The following is an 18,531-nucleotide window of genomic DNA, read 5'->3' on the forward strand; positions in this document are numbered from 1 at the left end:
CAGGGCAATTAGGCAGGAGAAGGAAATAAAGGGTATTCAATTAGGAAAAGAGGAAGTCAAATTGTCCCTGTTTGCAGACGACATGATTGTATATTTAGAAAACCCCATTGTCTCAGCCCAAAATCTCCTTAAGCTGATCAGCAACTTCAGCAAAGTCTCAGGATACAAAATCAATGTACAAAAATCACAAGCATTCTTATACACCAATAACAGACAAACAGAGAGCCAAATCATGAGTGAACTCCCATTCACAATTGCTTCAAAGAGAATAAAATACCTAGGAATCCAACTTACAAGGGATAGGAAGGACCTCTTCAAGGAGAACTACAAACCACTGCTCAAGGAAATAAAAGAGGATACAAACAAATGGAAGAACATTCCATGTTCATGGGTAGAAAAAATCAATATCGTGAAAATGGCCATACTGCCCAAGGTAATTTACAGATTCAATGCCATCCCCATCAAGCTACCAATGACTTTCTTCACAGAATTGGAAAAAACTACTTTAAAGTTCATCTGGAACCAAAAAAGAGCCCGCATCACCAAGTCAATCCTAAGCCAAAAGAACAAAGCTGGAGGCATCACACTACCTGACTTCAAGCTATACTACAAGGCTACAGTAACCGAAACAGCATGCAGAGCCCTCAGAATTAATGCTGCATATCTACAACTATCTGATCTTTGACAAACCTGAGAAAAACAAGCAATGGGGAAAGGATTCCCTATTTAATAAATGGTGCTGGGAAAACTGGCTAGCCTTATGTAGAAAGCTGAAACTGGATCCCTTCCTTACACCTTATACAAAAATTAATTCAAGATGGATTAAAGACTTACATGTTAGACGTAAAACCATAAAAACCCTAGAAGAAAACCTAGGCATTACCATTCAGGACATAGGCATGGGCAAGGACTTTATGTCTAAAACACCAAAAGCAATGGCAACAAAAGCCAAAATTGACAAATGGGATCTAATTAAACTAAAGAGCTTCTGCACAGCAAAAGAAACTACCATCAGAGTGAACAGGCAACCTACAAAATGGGGGAAAATTTTCCCAACCTACTCATCTGACAAAGGGCTAATATCCAGAATCTACAATGAACTCAAACAAATTTACAAGAAAAAAACAACCCCATCAAAAAGTGGGCAAAGGACATGAACAGACACTTCTCAAAAGAAGACATTTATGCAGCCAAAAAACACATGAAAAAATGCTCACCATCACTGGCCATCAGAGAAATGCAAATCAAAACCACAATGAGATAACATCTCGCACCAGTTAGAATGGCAATCATTAAAAAGTCAGGAAACAACAGGTGCTGGAGAGGATGTGGAGAAATAGGAACACTTTTACACTGTTGGTAGGACTGTAAACTAGTTCAACCATTGTGGATGTCAGTGTGGTGATTCCTCCGGGATCTAGAACTAGAAATACCATTTGATGCAGCCATCCCATTACTGTGTATATACCCAAAGGGCTATAAATCATGCTGCTATAAAGACACATGCACACATATGTTTATTGCGGCATTATTCACAATAGCAAACACTTGGAACCAACCCAAATGTCCAACAATGATAGACTGGATTAAGAAAATATGGCACATATACACCATGGAATACTATGCAGTCATAAAAAATGATGCGTTCATGTCCTTTGTAGGGACATGGATGAAATTGGAAATCATCATTCTCAGTAAACTATCTCAAGGACAAAAAACCAAACACTGCATATTCTCACTCATAGGTGGGAATTGAACAATGAGAACACATGGACGCGGGAAGGGGAACATCACACTCTGGGGACTGTTGTGGAGTGGGGGGAAGGGGGAGGGAGAGCACTGGGAGATATACGTAATGCTAGATGACGAGTTAGTGGGTGCAGCGCACCAGCATGGCACATGTATACATATGTAACTAACCTGCACATTGTACACATGTCCCCTAAAACTTAAAGTATAATAATAATAAATAAATAAATAAGAAAATGAAAACATATTAATAAAGCAAGCATGAATAAACTTTTATAAAATAAAAATAAAATAAAATTTACCTATTTTGATAGAGATATAGTAGAACAAATATAGCAAAATGTTAGTTGATTAATCTTGTTGGTGTGTGTATTGGTGTATTAGTTCATTTTCACGCTGCTTATAAAGATATACCTGAGACTGGGTAATTTATCAAGAAAGAGGATTAATGGCCTCACAGTTTCATGTGACTGGGGAGGGCTCACAATCATGGCAGAAGGCAAAAGGAATGTCTTACATGGAGGCAGATAAGAGAGAATCAAGCAAAAGGGATTTCCCCTTATAAACCCACCAGATCTTGTGAGAATTATTCACTAAACAAGAACAGTATGAGAGAAACTGCCCTCATGATTTAATTGTCTCCCACTGGGTCCCTCCCACAACATGTGGGAATTATGAGGTTCAATATGAGATTTGGGTAGGGACACAGCCAAACCATATCAGTGGGTTTTCACTGCAGAATTCTTTAATTTTGTCTCTATATTGCAGCAGTTCATAATAAAATTTTTGAAAAATTAACCTGAGCTGTGTGTATATATATATGTGTGTGTATGTGTATATATATATGTAAACCATCCATATATGTGTGAGTATATATATGTGTGTGTGTGTGTATGTATGTGTGTTTGTGTGTTATATAAACAATCCAACTCTGTCTGGTTCCATAAGCTTCCTTTGATACTCATGTGAATTCCAGTCAGTTTAGAAGATAATTACGCAGGGAGAAAAAGTTGCTTTCTTACTATAGGAAACTTAAAGTTGGTCTCTTTTGATGCCATAAAATTGCTTGTTTGATTAAAAGAAATCATCTATTATTTTCAAACTTCTCCTTCTTCTAAGTAAGTTGAAGAGAAAATCAAACAATCCAGAACCACTAAATCTGAAAGTCTTAGAATCGGAAGTAATTGGAAAAATTATCTAGTTCATCTCTCCTCCCAAAGTTGAAATTTTCTTTAGAACTCTAAGATATTTATCCTGAACTTCCTTATATTATTTCTGCTCTCTGTAACTAAACAGTTCAAATAATATCTTTCTTCTCCATAGTGATGTCCTTGAGAAGATGAAGCCAATGACAGTAACACTCCCAAGTTCGTGCTTTTCTGAGCTTACATTTCCTACTGCCATAAATCTACTTCATGCTTTATGGTATCCAGACCTCACATTATCAAAGTTATCTTTTGGACATGCTCCAACTGATTCAAGTTTCTCTTATTTAGAGAAACCAGTCGTGAAGAAAATATTCCAATGTCTAATAACATTGAGCTTATGACCAACTAAAAATCCCAAGGTAATTTTCCCATGAGCTGCTGTTTGACGTAATAACTTGAAGCAACAATGCCAATTGTGTAATGTTATTTCTTAAACATGAGCTCTACTGTCTCCTGTTACCTCATAAAAATGCATTTCTTGTCATCATTCATCTTGATGAATACTGTATGCATTCATTACTACTAATGACGAATATTCAATGCATTTTTACTTGCTTTTAAAAGATAATTTGAAGTAAATAATTGACACATAAATCACTTGAAAGTTTCTCTTGTGGCCATAAAAACTTGGCGAACAAATAATAATATTAACTGAAGATAAGCCATCCCTTAGCAATAAAAAAGTGAAAACTGAATTTACCACTTTCCCAGATGGGTTTCATCATTTTAATTTTCTTCTGGGAGGAAGATATCTAATAGGCACATATTAAAGTTTGAATATTTATGGGAGTTGGGGCATGGAGCTAATTTTGAAAATGACAGTTTATTCAAGAAGCAATACCTTCCAGTTTGTGAAAATTACTCTGTAATTTATTAAAGACAGTGACAGTGTTTGGCAGTTAGGGTGAAGAATTTTTCCAATATATAACACGGTGGTAGTGAGCATGGTTTATTTGAAGAGCACCTACTGCAGAGTTAGGCTTAACTCCACCCAACAGCCAAGTCTGAAACCACTGACGGTACCATGAGGGCTTTCATTTTCTTTCTCTTCATGCTCCTGGCCATGTTCTCAGGTAAGAAAGTCACAGTCAATAGCTTTCCTTCCAAATCTCAAAGGAAAGAATGAGAAATGTTAAGTGATTTAGCAATACTTTATCAAAAGATTTAAAAATAGGCAATCCATCAGACAGAGAAATGGAAGAAGGTAAATTTCTGACAAAATAAATGTAGATCTGGAGTCATAAAAATAGTGACTGAATGAAATCAGAGTGAATAGTTTGGTGTGACTGAAGAGAAACAGATACAAGGGAGTAGGAAAGGCAAAACATTAGACTGGAAAGATGAATTTAGACTAAGAGGCTTATGAGTTTGTGAATATGCAAGTTCATAATTTATAAGAAAATGGTTTTGTGATATGATCCTGGACTACATGGTCAAATAATAATGTGTTCAAATCTTGATGTTTTTTTCCCATTCATGTGATTTGAGGAAACTTGTTTAACTTACTTGAATCTCAATTTTCTCATTTGCAAAACGGAAATTATTATTCTTTCCTATAGAGTTATTTCGGGAACTATACAGATAATAGCTTTAGTTACCATTACCTGTGTTTTTTTAGGTACTTGACTCTCAACTTACTTTTCTCTATTCCTTACCTCAGTACAGTTAGGTGATTTTCAGATATGTAAATTTCTAGCTTTGAGATGTAAATTTCTCAAGATAATAAATGATAGTTAATACATTTCTCAAGATAAAAATTATAATAATGAAACTGATTCTAATTTATCCCCAAATCATAAGCTCCCACTTGACCATCTTTCTTATACCTAGTGAAATGAAATAATAAAAGTAAAGTGCCTCAGACCCCCCACTTCTTATATTTGTAACATCAAAATAGTGTTTCTCTTTTCATTGGAAACACTGCAAAGCTGTTTCAGAGTTTTGAGTACAAGAGTGATAATATTCATCTTGTTAAGAAATATCAGTCTTGTGGTAATACTAAAAATGAATTAGATGTAAGAAAAGTTGTACAGTAATGCCACTGAGGAGCTGCTGAAGTAACAGAGTTAAGAAAAAAAAAGGGTGAGTTAAGAGATAGAATTAGAGAAAGGAGAACAATACGTGTATGTGTGTGTGTTTTAAAGGGGGAAAACAGATATTCAGATAAAATTCCTTTATAGAACATATATTTCGTATTTCATGATGGCAGGTACTGTAACTGTTGTGACCTTCAGTGCCTTGCTAAGTGCTAGAAGGTATTTTGTGATGGAAGAAAGTGTATTATATATGCAATGATTATATATATTGGAAGATGAAGAAGAGAGATGAATCAGAAAAGCAATACTAAGCGCATCCTAGAGTTTGTAAAATCAGAAGGGAAAAAATACAAAACAAAGCTGAAGATACTTATTTTCCAAGTTTTTAGCTTAAAAAATAGATGGTGAAACCACATTATAATATCTTAATTGTCTCTTATTACTCCAAAATTCACCCTTAGTTTTTATTTAATAAATTTACTTATCCATGTAAGAAATGATGTATTATTAGGATTTTCATTGATTCATTACTTACTTTAGCAAAAGAGGGAAATAAACTACCTGTTTATTACTAGAACACTGGCTAAATAAATTATGATAAACCCATAAAATGGGATACTATGCAACCAACGAGGGGAAACAAATAAATATGCTCTATATGTATTGAGGTAGTGAAATCTTCATTATATTGATTGTCCTTGGAGAAAACAAAGAGTAGAACTCTGTGTAGAGTGTGCCACCAATTGTGTGAATAATTATATTCATATATGTTTGTAAATACATAGGGTATCCATCAAATAATTCACAAAAACCTGTAAATGTGATGGTGTCTTAGGCACTTTACTTTTACCATTTCATAGGTAATAGGAAATAATTATGTCGTAGTTAGGAAATTATTTTTGTGGGGGGTTTGGAGTGGGGGTACAGACAGGAAAGAAAAGGAAAGTAATTTTAAACTGTTTACTCTTTGCACCTTTAGGATTTGGCCCCATTTACTCGTGTCACCTGTTAAAAAAACTGAAAGTCATTAATAAAAATATGTTACCAACTCTTTTTTCCTATTTCTTCCACATATCTACTTTAATTGATTTCTACTTGGTGTTAGCAACTGTTAATGAGCAATGTTTTATTCCTAGAACTGAAAGAATCCATACATGTACTCATCTCTCAGCTAAAAAAAAATATTTTTTCTCATTAATTTCTCTGGTTGAATCTTATGTTTCTTATGTACCTCCTCCTCCAGGAAGAAAAAAGGATTCCACACTCTCTGCTACCTTGATTAGGAGACTATTGTCTAGTTTACTCCTCACGTGATAGCATTGATCATTCTACTATAATATAAAGTCCTACTTATTTGCCCCACTACTAGACTTCTCAGCTTCATGTGAACAGGGCCGTGAATGTCTTGTTCATTCCTAGCTCTTTCTAAGCTTCTTTTATAATAACAAATTATTTAAATTTATATTTTTTTGTTAAATTGAATGAATGGCTAAGTTATACTCACAATCCATATCCACACTATACCACAGTTTAGTTAAGCAGGTTGCTAAGCTTCTGTGTCTTGACTAGGACCTTAATCACCTGCAGGAGTATACCATAGCATGCTCAGTGCATACCAATTGACTATCATTTGACTTTGCTTAAATTGACTTGAAGGTATAAATGTGTATATTTATGGAAATATAAAGCAGAGCAATTGAAAATTCAAGTGAGACCCTAAGTATACATCTGAAATAATCAACATTGGAATGATTTAAAATTGCGTATATTGAAAAAAATACCAAAAAAACCTATGCAGAAAACAAAATGTAAGCCTAATTAAAATCTTTAAGAGAACCCCACATTAGGAAAGTGAATAAAGAAAGAGGAATTATCAAGCAAGAAGGAAAGGATGAGAAAAATATACACTTCTACCAAAAAAAAAAAAAAAAAAGGAAAAGAAGCATAGCCCAATGCAATACTCTTATACTTAGCTCTACAGTGATTCCATTTGCTTATTTATTGTTTTTTAGATCCTGCTCATTATGGAATATAATCTGAAAAAACATAAAACATATACACATACACACAATTACATATATTTCATTAGGGCATAGGTGGGCTTCCAAAATAAGTTGGAGAAGCTATAAAACACAGGGTTTAAGAAATAATCGTGATATTTACCATTCTCTTGAGCAATTTGACCAAAATAGAAAGAAGAAATATAACCACCAGAGAGAGCATGATTGATCCTAAGGCCTTTTGTTGGAAATGGTGAACATAAAGCTGATTGAAAGACACATGTTCTGAAGGAGAAAGGAAACATCTGTTTTAGGGATGGAAATGGAAAGAAAGTTGGCTACAGATAATATGTATAGAGATGGAAGTGAGAAGAATAAAGTGGGGCTCACGTCTGCCAGCCTTTTCCTGTCTGGAAAGTTGATGGCGTTATCCGTAAAGTGAAGCTGGAAAATTAGGACTAAAGTACTTGGTGTGAAAAAATAAGTTTATAATGAGCATTGAGCAGAGCCAGTTTGATTCATCAGAAAACCATTTAAAGGAATTGGGGGTAGAATGAAGTCTCAATTCAAATAATTCAGACTTTATGATTTAGAAATGGGGCAAGTTGGATTGATCCTCTAATTTTTGAAAACCATGTAGTACAGTAAAGAAAACAAAGGAGGAACCCAAATATTCAGGATATGAGGAAGAATGAGAAGATTCTATCTTGGGGCTTGGTTAAAAAATCAAGAAAGCATTAAAAACATACTATATCTTGGACAAATGTTGTTGATTTAAAATTATTTAATGTATATAACTTTATTTTCATTTTTTTCTGGTTGTGTTATTATTCCAGCATCTTCAACCCAGATTTCAAATACCAGTGTTTTCAAACTAGAAGAGAATCCAAAACCTGCACTTATTCTGGAGGAAAAAAATGAAGCTAACCATCTAGGAGGACAAAGAGATTCTAATAAGCAAGGAGGTAGTTATACACAAGGAAATCCAGGAACGTTTAGGCTTCAAGGACAACCAGGCTATTTTAACAAGCTAGAGAAACCAAGACATTTTAAGCAAGGGAGAGCAGGAGTTTTAAACCAGCCTGGGATTTTAAAGAATTCAGGAAAATCTAACCAAAAAGGGAATCCAGAATCTTCTAATAAGCAGGAAAACTCAGGATCTTCTAGCCAACTAGGGAGACCAGGGATTTCTACCCAACAGGGAAATCCAGGGTCATCTGACCAACAAGAGAAACCAGGGTCATTTAGCCAGAAAGTGATGGTGGGGTCATCTAGCCAACAGGGGAAGCCAGGATCATCTAGCCAACACGGGAATCTAGGGTCATCAACCCAGAAAGGGAATTTAGGATCTTCTAGCCTACAAGGGCATCTGGGTTTATCTAGCCATCAAGGGAAGCCAGAGTCATCTGGCCAACAGGGGAAGCCAGGGTCATCTAGCCAACAAGGAAATCTAGGAACTTCTGGCCAACAGGAGAAGCCAGGATCTTCTAGCCAACAGGGGAAGCCAGGGTTGTCTAGCCATCAAGGGAAGCCAGGGTCATCTAGCCAACAAGGAAATCTACATTTATCTAGCCAGCAAGGGAATCAAGGACCTTCTAGCAAACAGAGGAAGCCAGGTTCATCCAGCCGTCAAGGAAATCTATGATTATCTAGCCAGCAAGGGAATATAGGATCTCCTAGCCAACAGGAGAAGCCAGAGTCTTCTAGCCAACAAGGGAATCTAGGGTCATCTAGCTATCAAGGGAAGCCAGTGTCATCTAGCCAACAAGGGAAGCCAGTGTCATCTAGCCAACAAGGGAAGCCAGGGGCATCTAACCAGCAAGGAGATCTAGGATCTTCTAAGCAGCAGGGGAAGCCAGGATCATCTAGCCAGCAAGGAAATATAGGGTCATCTGGCCAGGAATGGAAGCCAGAGCCATCTAGCCATCAGAGAAAATTAAGGTCATTTTACAACCAACGACAAAGAAAAAATATTGACAGCACTTTTGATGGCAATATAATGGACTTTGAGGTTAGTGCTAATAACTTCTTTTTCTCAGTCAACTTGACCCAGCAATTCTCTTTTCCAAGACTTAAAATGCTTTAAAAACCACAGTGTGTTAATGAAAAGTCACTTGCAATGACACTGATCAAACAAAATGAGAAGAACTTTGGAGCTGATTATTTTCATGCATAACACTTATGATTATTAATGAATGTACTGCCCTTCTATTCTTTCATTTCCCTCTATTATTTTCCACTCAAACCTCCCTACCTATACTAGAATAACTCAGATCCTCATCAACTGAGCCCACATCTTTGCCAGGTTTAACTTTCATGTCCATTTTTATCCCATCCGTAATCTATAAATCACTGAAGTAATATTCCTAAATCAAAAATCCTCTCTGATATTTTAGACCCCTGCTTGAAATTCCCCAGTGGCTTCATACTACCTAGAAGATGTAACTTAAACTCCTAAACATAGAATTTACAGATTTTCATGATTATACTGCATACTGTTTAGCCTCATTTCATGTCACTGTTGCTCACACACCACCCATGTCATACAGAGCCCTTTGATTTTCCACTCATGTATTCCTAATACTAATGATTTCCTCTATTATTAAACTCACCTTAACACTTTGTAATTGTCTATTATCAGCTAGATAATGAACTTCTTGAAGAAAGTACCATGTATCCCCAGAACCTAGAATAAGTGTGGCATGTAGTAAGTTCTCCTGAACTGCATGTTAGATGGATAGATTAATGCCTGCTACTTGGAAGCTACCATTTCAAATAGGTGAACATATCTGATCCACATGTCTCCTGTATTCCCTTTTGAATCCTGCTGCACTTTTACTTTCACTTGCCTGCCTCTCTTCCAACAATCGGCCTCCTGATTTATTTAACAATTGCTTTGAATACTCCGTTTGATACTCACATTCAAAACAGTTTTCTAGAACACTATCTTATCATCTTAATGGAAACCATTTTTTTACCTCATAAATTTTCATTCCTCACAAGCCTTCCAGATGAAAGTCATTTGTTCTCTTAGTCATTATCAGTTGGCTGGCATGAAGTAGTAATCTCTCAGAGAGACTCCCTACCATTCAGATCTTAATGCCATCACCAGCAGGTCTCTGAGTTTTTAGGATGTCACTTAAATTTTTGCAATTTTATATTTATTCTAGAATAGGAGAAATAACCATGTCCAATTAACACAGTATGTGTGAAATAAATTGATCGTTATGAAAGGGTTGTATGATTTGGAAAATATGAAGGTATTTTTTTTTTATCTCCCTACAACATCTCAGCTCTGAGAATTCCACATCCTCTATTAAAAATGTCTCATCATTCTCATTAATGACTCTGTTCTCACCTGCTAGTCAAAGGGTACTTATATTCACAGGCTTCTGCCATTTAGCTCACATCCAAAGAAAATGCATCAGGTATTATTTAAATAAATCCTGCATGATCCTACTTCCTGTATAATTTTTTTCATGGGCATACCAAAAAAAGGGAATCAACAAATTATGACTGTATGCGTTTTGCATTTGCTTGTATGACTTTTCCCTGACTATTGTTTGTCCAGGTAGAGGAAGAATTGCCTCCAGAAAATTAAAATGGAGGCAGTCTGACATATAGTAAGTGAGTAGTTTGCAAATATTTTCCTTGATTCTGTGGGTATCTTTTCACTTCATTGATTGCTTCCTTTCCTGCGCAGAAGTTTTTCAACCTGATGTGGTCCATTTTTGCTATGAATTTTCTGTGTTAGTTAGGTATTTCAACCTGATGTGGTCCATTTTTGCTATGGTTGTCTGTGTTAGTTAGGTATTACTCAAGAAATCTTTGCCAGTCCAATGTTCAAGAGAGTTTCAACACAGTTTTCTTGTAGTAGTTTCATTGTTTGAGGTCTTAGATTTAAGTCTTCAATCCATTTTGAGTTGATTTTTATGTATGGTGAGAGATAGGATTGTGGTTTCATTTTTCTGTATATGGATATCCAGTTTTCCCAGCATCATTTATTGAAGACTGTCCTTTTCCCAGTGTATGTTCTTGGCACCTTCACCAAAAATGGGTTCACTGTGGACATATGGATTTATTTCTGGGTTCTCTATTCTGTTCCACTGATTCATGTATCTGTTTTTATACCAGTACCATGCCATTTTGGTTACTATAGCTCTATAGCATAATTTGAACTCAGGTAATGCGATTCCTCAAGTTCTCTTTTTTGTTTTGTTTTCTTTTGCTTATGATAGCTTTGGTTATTCTGGGTATCTTTTGTCTCCATATAAATTTTAGCATTGTTTTTTCTATCTCTGTGAAGAATGTCATTGGCATTTTGATAGGGATTGCATTGAATCTGTAGATTGTTTTGGGTAGTATAGACATTTTCACATTGATTCTTCCAATCCATGAACATAAAATGCCTTTCCATTTTTTAGTGTCCTATTTAATTTCTTGCACCAATGTTTTATAGTTTTTATTGTAGAGATCTTTCACTTCTTTGGCTAAGTTAATACCTAGGTATTTAATTTGTAACTAAGGTAAATTGAATTACTTTCTTGATTTGTTTTTCAGATTGTTCACTATGGGTATACAAAATGCTACTGATTTTTCTGTGTTGATTTCCTTTCCTGCAACTTTACTGAATTTGTTTATCAGTTCAAATAGCTTTTTGGTGGAGTCTTTAGGTTTTTCCAAATATAAGATCAGATTATGTGCAAACAAGGATAATTTGGCCTCTTGTTTTCCAACTTGGATGCCCTTTATGTCTCTCTTGTTTAATTGCTTCAGGAGGACTTACATTACTGTGTTGAATAAAACTTGTGAAAGTGGGCATCCTTGTTGTGTTCCCAATCTTGGAGGAAAGGGTTTTGGTTTTCCCTCATTTAGTTTAATACTAGCTGTGAGTCTGTTGTACACTGCCTTTATTTTGTTGAGGTATAATCTTTCTATATCCAGATTTCTAAGGCTTTTTATCATAAAGGGATGTTGAATTTTATCAAATGCTTTTTCAGCATTAGTTGAAATGATCATATAGTTTTTGTTCTTTATTTTGTTGACATGACATATCACATTAATTAATTTGTGTATGTTGAAGCATCCTTGCACCCTAGGATAAACCCCAGTTGGTCATGATGAATGATCTTTCTAATGTGTTGTTGAATGTGGTTTGCTAGTATTTTGTTGAGAATTTTTGCATCAACATTTATCAGAGCCATTGGGCTATAGTTTTCTTTTTCTGATGTCTCTTTGTCTGGTTTTGGTATCAGGATAATACTGGCCTCATAGAATAGGATTGGAAGTATTCCCTTCTCTATTTTTCAGAATAGTTTGAGTAGAAATGGTATTAGATCATCATTAATTGTTTGGTAGAAATAAGCAGTGAAGCCATCAGATCCTGAGCTTTTCTTTACTGAGTGACTTTCTACTATGGCTTAATCTCGTTAGTTGTTATTTATCTGTTCAGGTTTTGGATATTGTCATGGTTCAAGTTTAGGTTGTTTATGTCTAGGAGTTTTGTCCATTTCTTCTAGATTTTCCAATTTATTTGCATATTGTTGCTTATAGTAGTCGCTAATGATCCTTTGAGTTTCTGCAGTATTGTTGTAATGTCTCCTTGTTCATCTCTGATTTTATTTATTTTTGAGCTTCTCTCTTTTTTTCTTAGTCTGGCTAACAGTTGGTCTATTTTGTTTAACTTTTCAAAAAACAACTTTATGTTTTATTCATCTTTTATGTTATTTTCTTCATTTCTAATTCATTTATTTCTGCTTTGATCTTTACTATTTCTTTTCTTCTACTAATTTTGGATTTGGTTTGCACTTGCTTTTCCAGTTCTTCAAGATGCATCATTTGGTTATTTACTTGAAGGCTTTCTTCTTTTTTGATGTAGGTCCTTATAGCTACAAACTTACCTCTTAGTAATGCTTTTACTGTATCCCATAGGTTTTGGTATGTTGTGTTTCCATTATCACTTGTTTCAAGAAAATTTTTAATTTTATTTTTAATTTTTTCATGGACTCACTCGTTACTCAGGTATATTTTGTTTAATTTCCATGTGTTTGAATAGTTTTCAAAATTCATCTTATTAATGATTTCTAGTTTTATTACACTGTGGTCAGAGAAGATGCTTAATATTGTTGCAATATTTTTTGAATATTTTAAGACTTTCTTTGTGAGCTAACATATGGTTTATCCTTGAGAATAATTTATCTGCTGAGGAGAACAGTGTGTATTCTGCAGCCATTGAATGAAATGTGTAAATATTTATTAGTTTTATCGGTTCTATAGTGTAGATTAAATACAATATTTCTTCTTGTGTCTTCTGTATGGAAGATCTGTCTAATGCTGAAAGCGTGGTGTTAAGTCTCCAGCTATTATTGTATTGGGATCTCTCTCTCTTTAGCTCTAATAATATTTTCTTTATATATCTGGGTTTTCCAGTGTTGAGTAAATATATACTTATAATTGTTATATGCCCTTACTGAATTGACACCTTTGTCATTATAGAGTGACCTTTTCTCTTTTTATAGTTTTTATCTGGAAATTTATTCTGTCTAGCTACTCCTGCTCTTTTGTGGTTTCCATTGGCATGGCATGGGGTATTATTTTTCATCCCTTTATTTTCTGTCTATGTGTATCTTTATAGGTGAAGTGTACTTTTCTTTTCTTCTTTTCTCCTTTCTTTTTTTGGGGGGGCGAGGGGACAAACTCTCGCTGTGTAGCACAGGCTGGAGTGCAGTGGCGAAATCTCAGATCACTGAAACCTCTGCCTTCCAGGTTCAAGTGATTCTCCTCTCTCAGCCTCCCGAGTAGTTGGGATTACAGGCGTGTGCCACCACGCCCAGCTAATTCTTGCAGTTTTAGTAGAGATGGGTTTCACCATGTTGGTCAGGCTGGTCTTGAACTCCTGACCTCAAGCGATCTGCCTGGCTTAGCCTCCCAAAGTCCTGGGATTACAGTCTTGAGTCACCATGCCCAGCCTGTGTATATCATGAAAAGTCATTGTAGTTATTATTTTTGATTGGTTCATCATTTAGTCTCTCTTCTTAAGAGTAGTCTATACACCACAATTATGATGTTATAATATTCTATGTTTTCCTGTGCATTTACTATTACCAGTGAGTTTTGTAACATGTGGCCTCTTGTGTCCAACTTCTTTCACTTAGAAAGATGTTTCTGAGGTTTATCCATGATGTAGCATGTGTCAGTAGTCCCATTCCGTCCCTGGACCCACTCTCTCTCACACTCCTCTCTGTAGTTCTAACCAACCAGGAATCTAATGTCTGTCTCTATAATTTTGCCACAAACTCTTGTATTCTTATCAAGATTTAGTAGAGTTTTAGGAATAAATATTTCTCCATTTGCTGTATGCCCTCAGGACTGTTTTCAGAAACAAAAATATTTAAACAGAATTTTCATCAATTAAATGCTTGTTTCACTGGGAAGAGAGTCCTCTGAATTGTTCACATTGCCATTCCACCCATTGTGGTTTTTATTTGCTCCTTCCAAATGACTAATGCTTCTGATTGTTGTCTCATGTGCACACAACCATTTCTAAATCTTCATAGTAAAATGCCTGTTCCTATCTTTTGCCAATTTTTTTTCATTTGTCTTCTTATTACCGAGTTATATGGGCTGTATTTCATTGTACTCTATTTTTGTTTACCAGATATGCTACTTGTTTTTATCACATCGAAAATAGAAATAGGAGTTTTTTTCCTAACTATTAATCTCTTTAATGAGATTAAGGTCTTAAAAGAAAAATACTTTTCTTGAAAGATTTACTTCTTTATTCCTCATCTTTTGATATTTTGCATAAATTTTTCACTAGAATCAGCTCTTCTTTTCTAATGCTTTTCTTGTGTTTGAATTTTTTTCAATTGAGGGTCAACCTTATAAAATTTTCCTAGCATGGGTGGTCTCTTTATTGATTCTGGCACCATTTTAAGCTAGAAATAGAGGCACTGGCAACTAATGGACAATTTGGGCTTATTTCTCATTATTGTCTCTTTTACAACTTTTTTTCTCTATACCGGAAAAAACATACAGGTATTCAATTTATATTATCAAGCTCAGTGATCATCTACCCCTCACCACCTGGGGTTCAATAAAGGTACTCATACGTGAGAAGAAGGAAAATGCCAAGATGGGCGTCACCAGGAAAGCTCTGGTCATTTCTGGGATTCAACTATTTGGCCACCATCCAGGGACCTGCTCCTTAAGGCCTGTAAGGTTGTTGGCAGTTATCACCTCACAACTCTATATTCAGACCATCTTTCCAAACACAATATTTCTGGGATTTCTTTCAGTCTTATCAGTCACTTGACCAAGGCAAAGAGGTGATATATGGAATGATATCAGAGGGAACTCAGCAGTCAGAGATGGAGAACAATATCTAGAGAACAATAGGGAATATTACACTGCCAATACTTTTGTTTTTCAATATCAAAAGAAAGTTGACCATATAACCACTACTCCATTAATCACAACAGAATTTAATAGCAAACAAGCAATCAAGATGTGTTTATCATGCAAATCTTGGAAGTGAAAAGACTTTTCATCTTTATTGTATAGACACGGAAAGAATTCTCTTAAAGCCTTTTGCTTTAAGGTATTTAATTTTTTCCAAAAAAAATGAATTAACCTATCAAGTTTAATAATTTAAATTAGTTTATGTAAATACATCAGGACAAATAAAAAGTACTATTAAATTCAAACAATTCAATATTCAAGATAAAACAGTAAACAGAAAAAGTATGTTTCAAAAAAATTTAGGAACTATCTCCTAGCTATGTAAGTTTAATCAATTAAAAAGGCAAAAACTTATCTAATGAGAACTATAAACAATATTATATATAATATATATACATGTGTATATATATGAAGTTATATATACATATATATTCATATACATGCATGCATAAGTATATATACATGTGAGTGTTACAAAACTCTTTACTTACAGCATTTTTTAAGTAAAAATTAAGTATAATAATTTTATGACCAATGTTTTAAAAATAAACCACTGAAATATCTAGCATATATTAAGCTATTAATATATGCTTTGATTTTTTTTAAGTTTAAATCTTTCAGTTAAATGCTAGTATTTTCAATTGTAATATATAATCCCTCTTTGAGCAATTAATTTACTATTTGTTCTAACTAAGGTTTCATAACTCCTAGATATATCTTACTCTTGCCCAGCTCATATAAAGGCTATAAGAAAGTTTCCTACTGGACATCAGATGAGATCAAACTGTCAACTTCACCAGAATGAACCAGAATATTTCTATTAAATCAATGTATGTCAATTTTATTTGATTATCCAAATAATTTCTGTCCTTAAACTTTTAAATTTTATTTGTTCTTATGATTATAGTCATTAAAATATTTGTCTTCTAGTGATACCATGAGTTCTTATTATTTAGCTTCAACCTGTAAGTGAGAAAATGTGGTATTTACTTTTCTGTTCCTGCATTAGTTGTCTAAGGATAATGCCCTCCAGCTCCATCCATGTTCTTGCAAAAGACATAATCTCATTCTTTTTTATGGCTGCATAGTATTCCATGGTGTATATGTACCACATTTTCTTTAATCTGTCATTGACAGGCATTTAGATTGATTCCATGTCTTTGTTATTGTAAATAGTGCTACAATGAATATACGCATGGCTGTGTCTTCATGATAGAATGATTCATATTTCTTTGGGTACATACCCAGTAATAGGATTATTGGGTTGAATGATAGTTCTGTTTTTGGCTCTTTGAGAAATCACCCACTGCTTTCCACAATGATTAAACTAATTTACACTCCCACCAATGGTGTATAAGTATTCCTTTTTCTCTGCAACCTCACCATCGTCTGTTATTTTTTGACTTTTACATAATAGCCATTCTGATTGGTGTGAGATGGTATCTCATTGTGGCTTTCATTAGCATTTCTCTAATGATAGGTGAGATTGAGTTCTTATGCTTGTTGGCTGCGTGTATAGGTCTTCTTTTGAAAAATGTCTATTCATATCCTTTGCCTACTTTTAATGGGGTTTTGGTTTGTTTGTTGTAAATTTGTTTAAATTCCGTATAGATACTGGCTATTAGTCCTTTGTCAGATGCATAGTTTGCAAATATTTTCTCCTATTCTGTAGGTTATGTTTACTCTGTTGATAGTTTTCTTTGCTCTGCAGAAGCTCTTAAGTTTAATTAGATCCCACTTGTCAATTTTTGCTTTTGTTGTGATTGCTTTTCTATTTGATGTTTTATTTTCAATAATGAATTGTTTGAATTTAATTGTACTTTTTATTTGTCCTGATATATTTGCATACTAATTAAAATTATTAAACTGGACAGGTTAATTCATTTCTCTGGAGAAAATTAAATACCTTAAAGCAAAAGACTTGTGATTGCTTTTGACGTCTTTGCCATGAAATCTTCGCCTGTACCTACGTCCAGAATAGTAGTGCCTAAACCCCAAGTCCTCTAGGGTTTTTATAGTTTGGGGTTTTACATTTTTTTTTTTATTATACTTTAAGTTTTAGGGTACATGTGCACATTGTGCAGGTTAGTTACATATGTATACATGTGCCATGCTGGTGCGCTGCACCCACTAACTCGTCATCTAGCATTAGGTATATCTCCCAATGCTATCCCTCCCCCCTCCCCCGACCCCACCACAGTCCCCAGAGTGTGATATTCCCCTTCCTGTGTCCATGTGATCTCATTGTTCAATTCCCACCTATGAGTGAGAATATGCCATGTTTGGTTTTTTGTTCTTGTGATAGTTTACTGAGAATGATGATTTCCAATTTCATCCATGTCCCTACAAAGGACACGAGCTCATCATTTTTTATGGCTGCATAGTATTCCATGGTGTATATGTGCCACATTTTCTTAATCCAGTCTATCATTGTTGGACATTTGGGTTGGTTCCAAGTCTTTGCTATTGTGAATAATGCCGCAATAAACATACGTGTGCATGTGTCTTTATAGCAGCATGATTTATAGTCCTTTGGGTATATACCCAGTAATGGGATGGCTGGGTCAAATGGTATTTCTAGTTCTAGATCCCTGAGGAATCGCCACACTGACTTCCACAATGGTTGAACTAGTTTACAGTCCCACCAACAGTGTAAAAGTGTTCCTATTTCTCCACATCCTCTCCAGCACCTGTTGTTTCCTGACTTTTAATGATTGCCATTTTAACTGGTGTGAGATGGTATCTCATTGTGGTTTTGATTTGCATTTCTCTGATGGCCAGTGATGGTGAGCATTTTTTCATGTGTTTCTTGGCTGCATAAATGTATTCTTTTGAGAAGTGTCTGTTCATGTCCTTCGCCCACTTTTTGATGGGGTTGTTTGTTTTTTTCTTGTAAATTTGTTTGAGTTCATTGTAGATTCTGGATATTAGCCCTTTGTCAGATGAGTAGGTTGCGAAAATTTTCTCCCATTTTGTAGGTTGCCTGTTCACTCTGATGGTAGTTTCTTTTGCTGTGCAGAAGCTCTTTAGTTTAATTAGATCCCATTTGTCAATTTTGGCTTTTGTTGCCATTGCTTT

The 18,531-nt window shown here is 34.9% G+C and overlaps 1 protein-coding gene across 1 annotated transcript; it reads left to right on the forward strand.

Annotated features, from left to right (window-relative positions):
• Window positions 1-3,908: 3,908 nt before the first annotated feature.
• Window positions 3,909-8,964, forward strand: MARCOL (MARCO like). The gene is made up of 2 exons (NM_001363511.2): window positions 3,909-4,030; window positions 7,830-8,964. The coding sequence occupies exons 1-2, from the start codon at window positions 3,982-3,984 to the stop codon at window positions 8,636-8,638; spliced, it is 858 nt and encodes a 285-aa protein (NP_001350440.1). The 5' UTR covers window positions 3,909-3,981; the 3' UTR covers window positions 8,639-8,964.
• Window positions 8,965-18,531: the final 9,567 nt, after the last annotated feature.

The sequence above is a fragment of the Homo sapiens genome, chromosome 5 (assembly GCF_000001405.40).
Source record: "Homo sapiens chromosome 5, GRCh38.p14 Primary Assembly".
NCBI lineage: Eukaryota > Metazoa > Chordata > Mammalia > Primates > Hominidae > Homo > Homo sapiens.

Coding starts and splice junctions, on each gene's coding strand:
- MARCOL (NM_001363511.2), top strand. CDS start 3,982: ATGAGGGCTTTCATTTTCTTTCTCTTCATGCTCCTGGCCATGTTCTCA. Junction 4,031..7,829: donor GCTCCTGGCCATGTTCTCAG/GTAAGAAAGTCA, acceptor TTATTATTCCAG/CATCTTCAACCCAGATTTCA.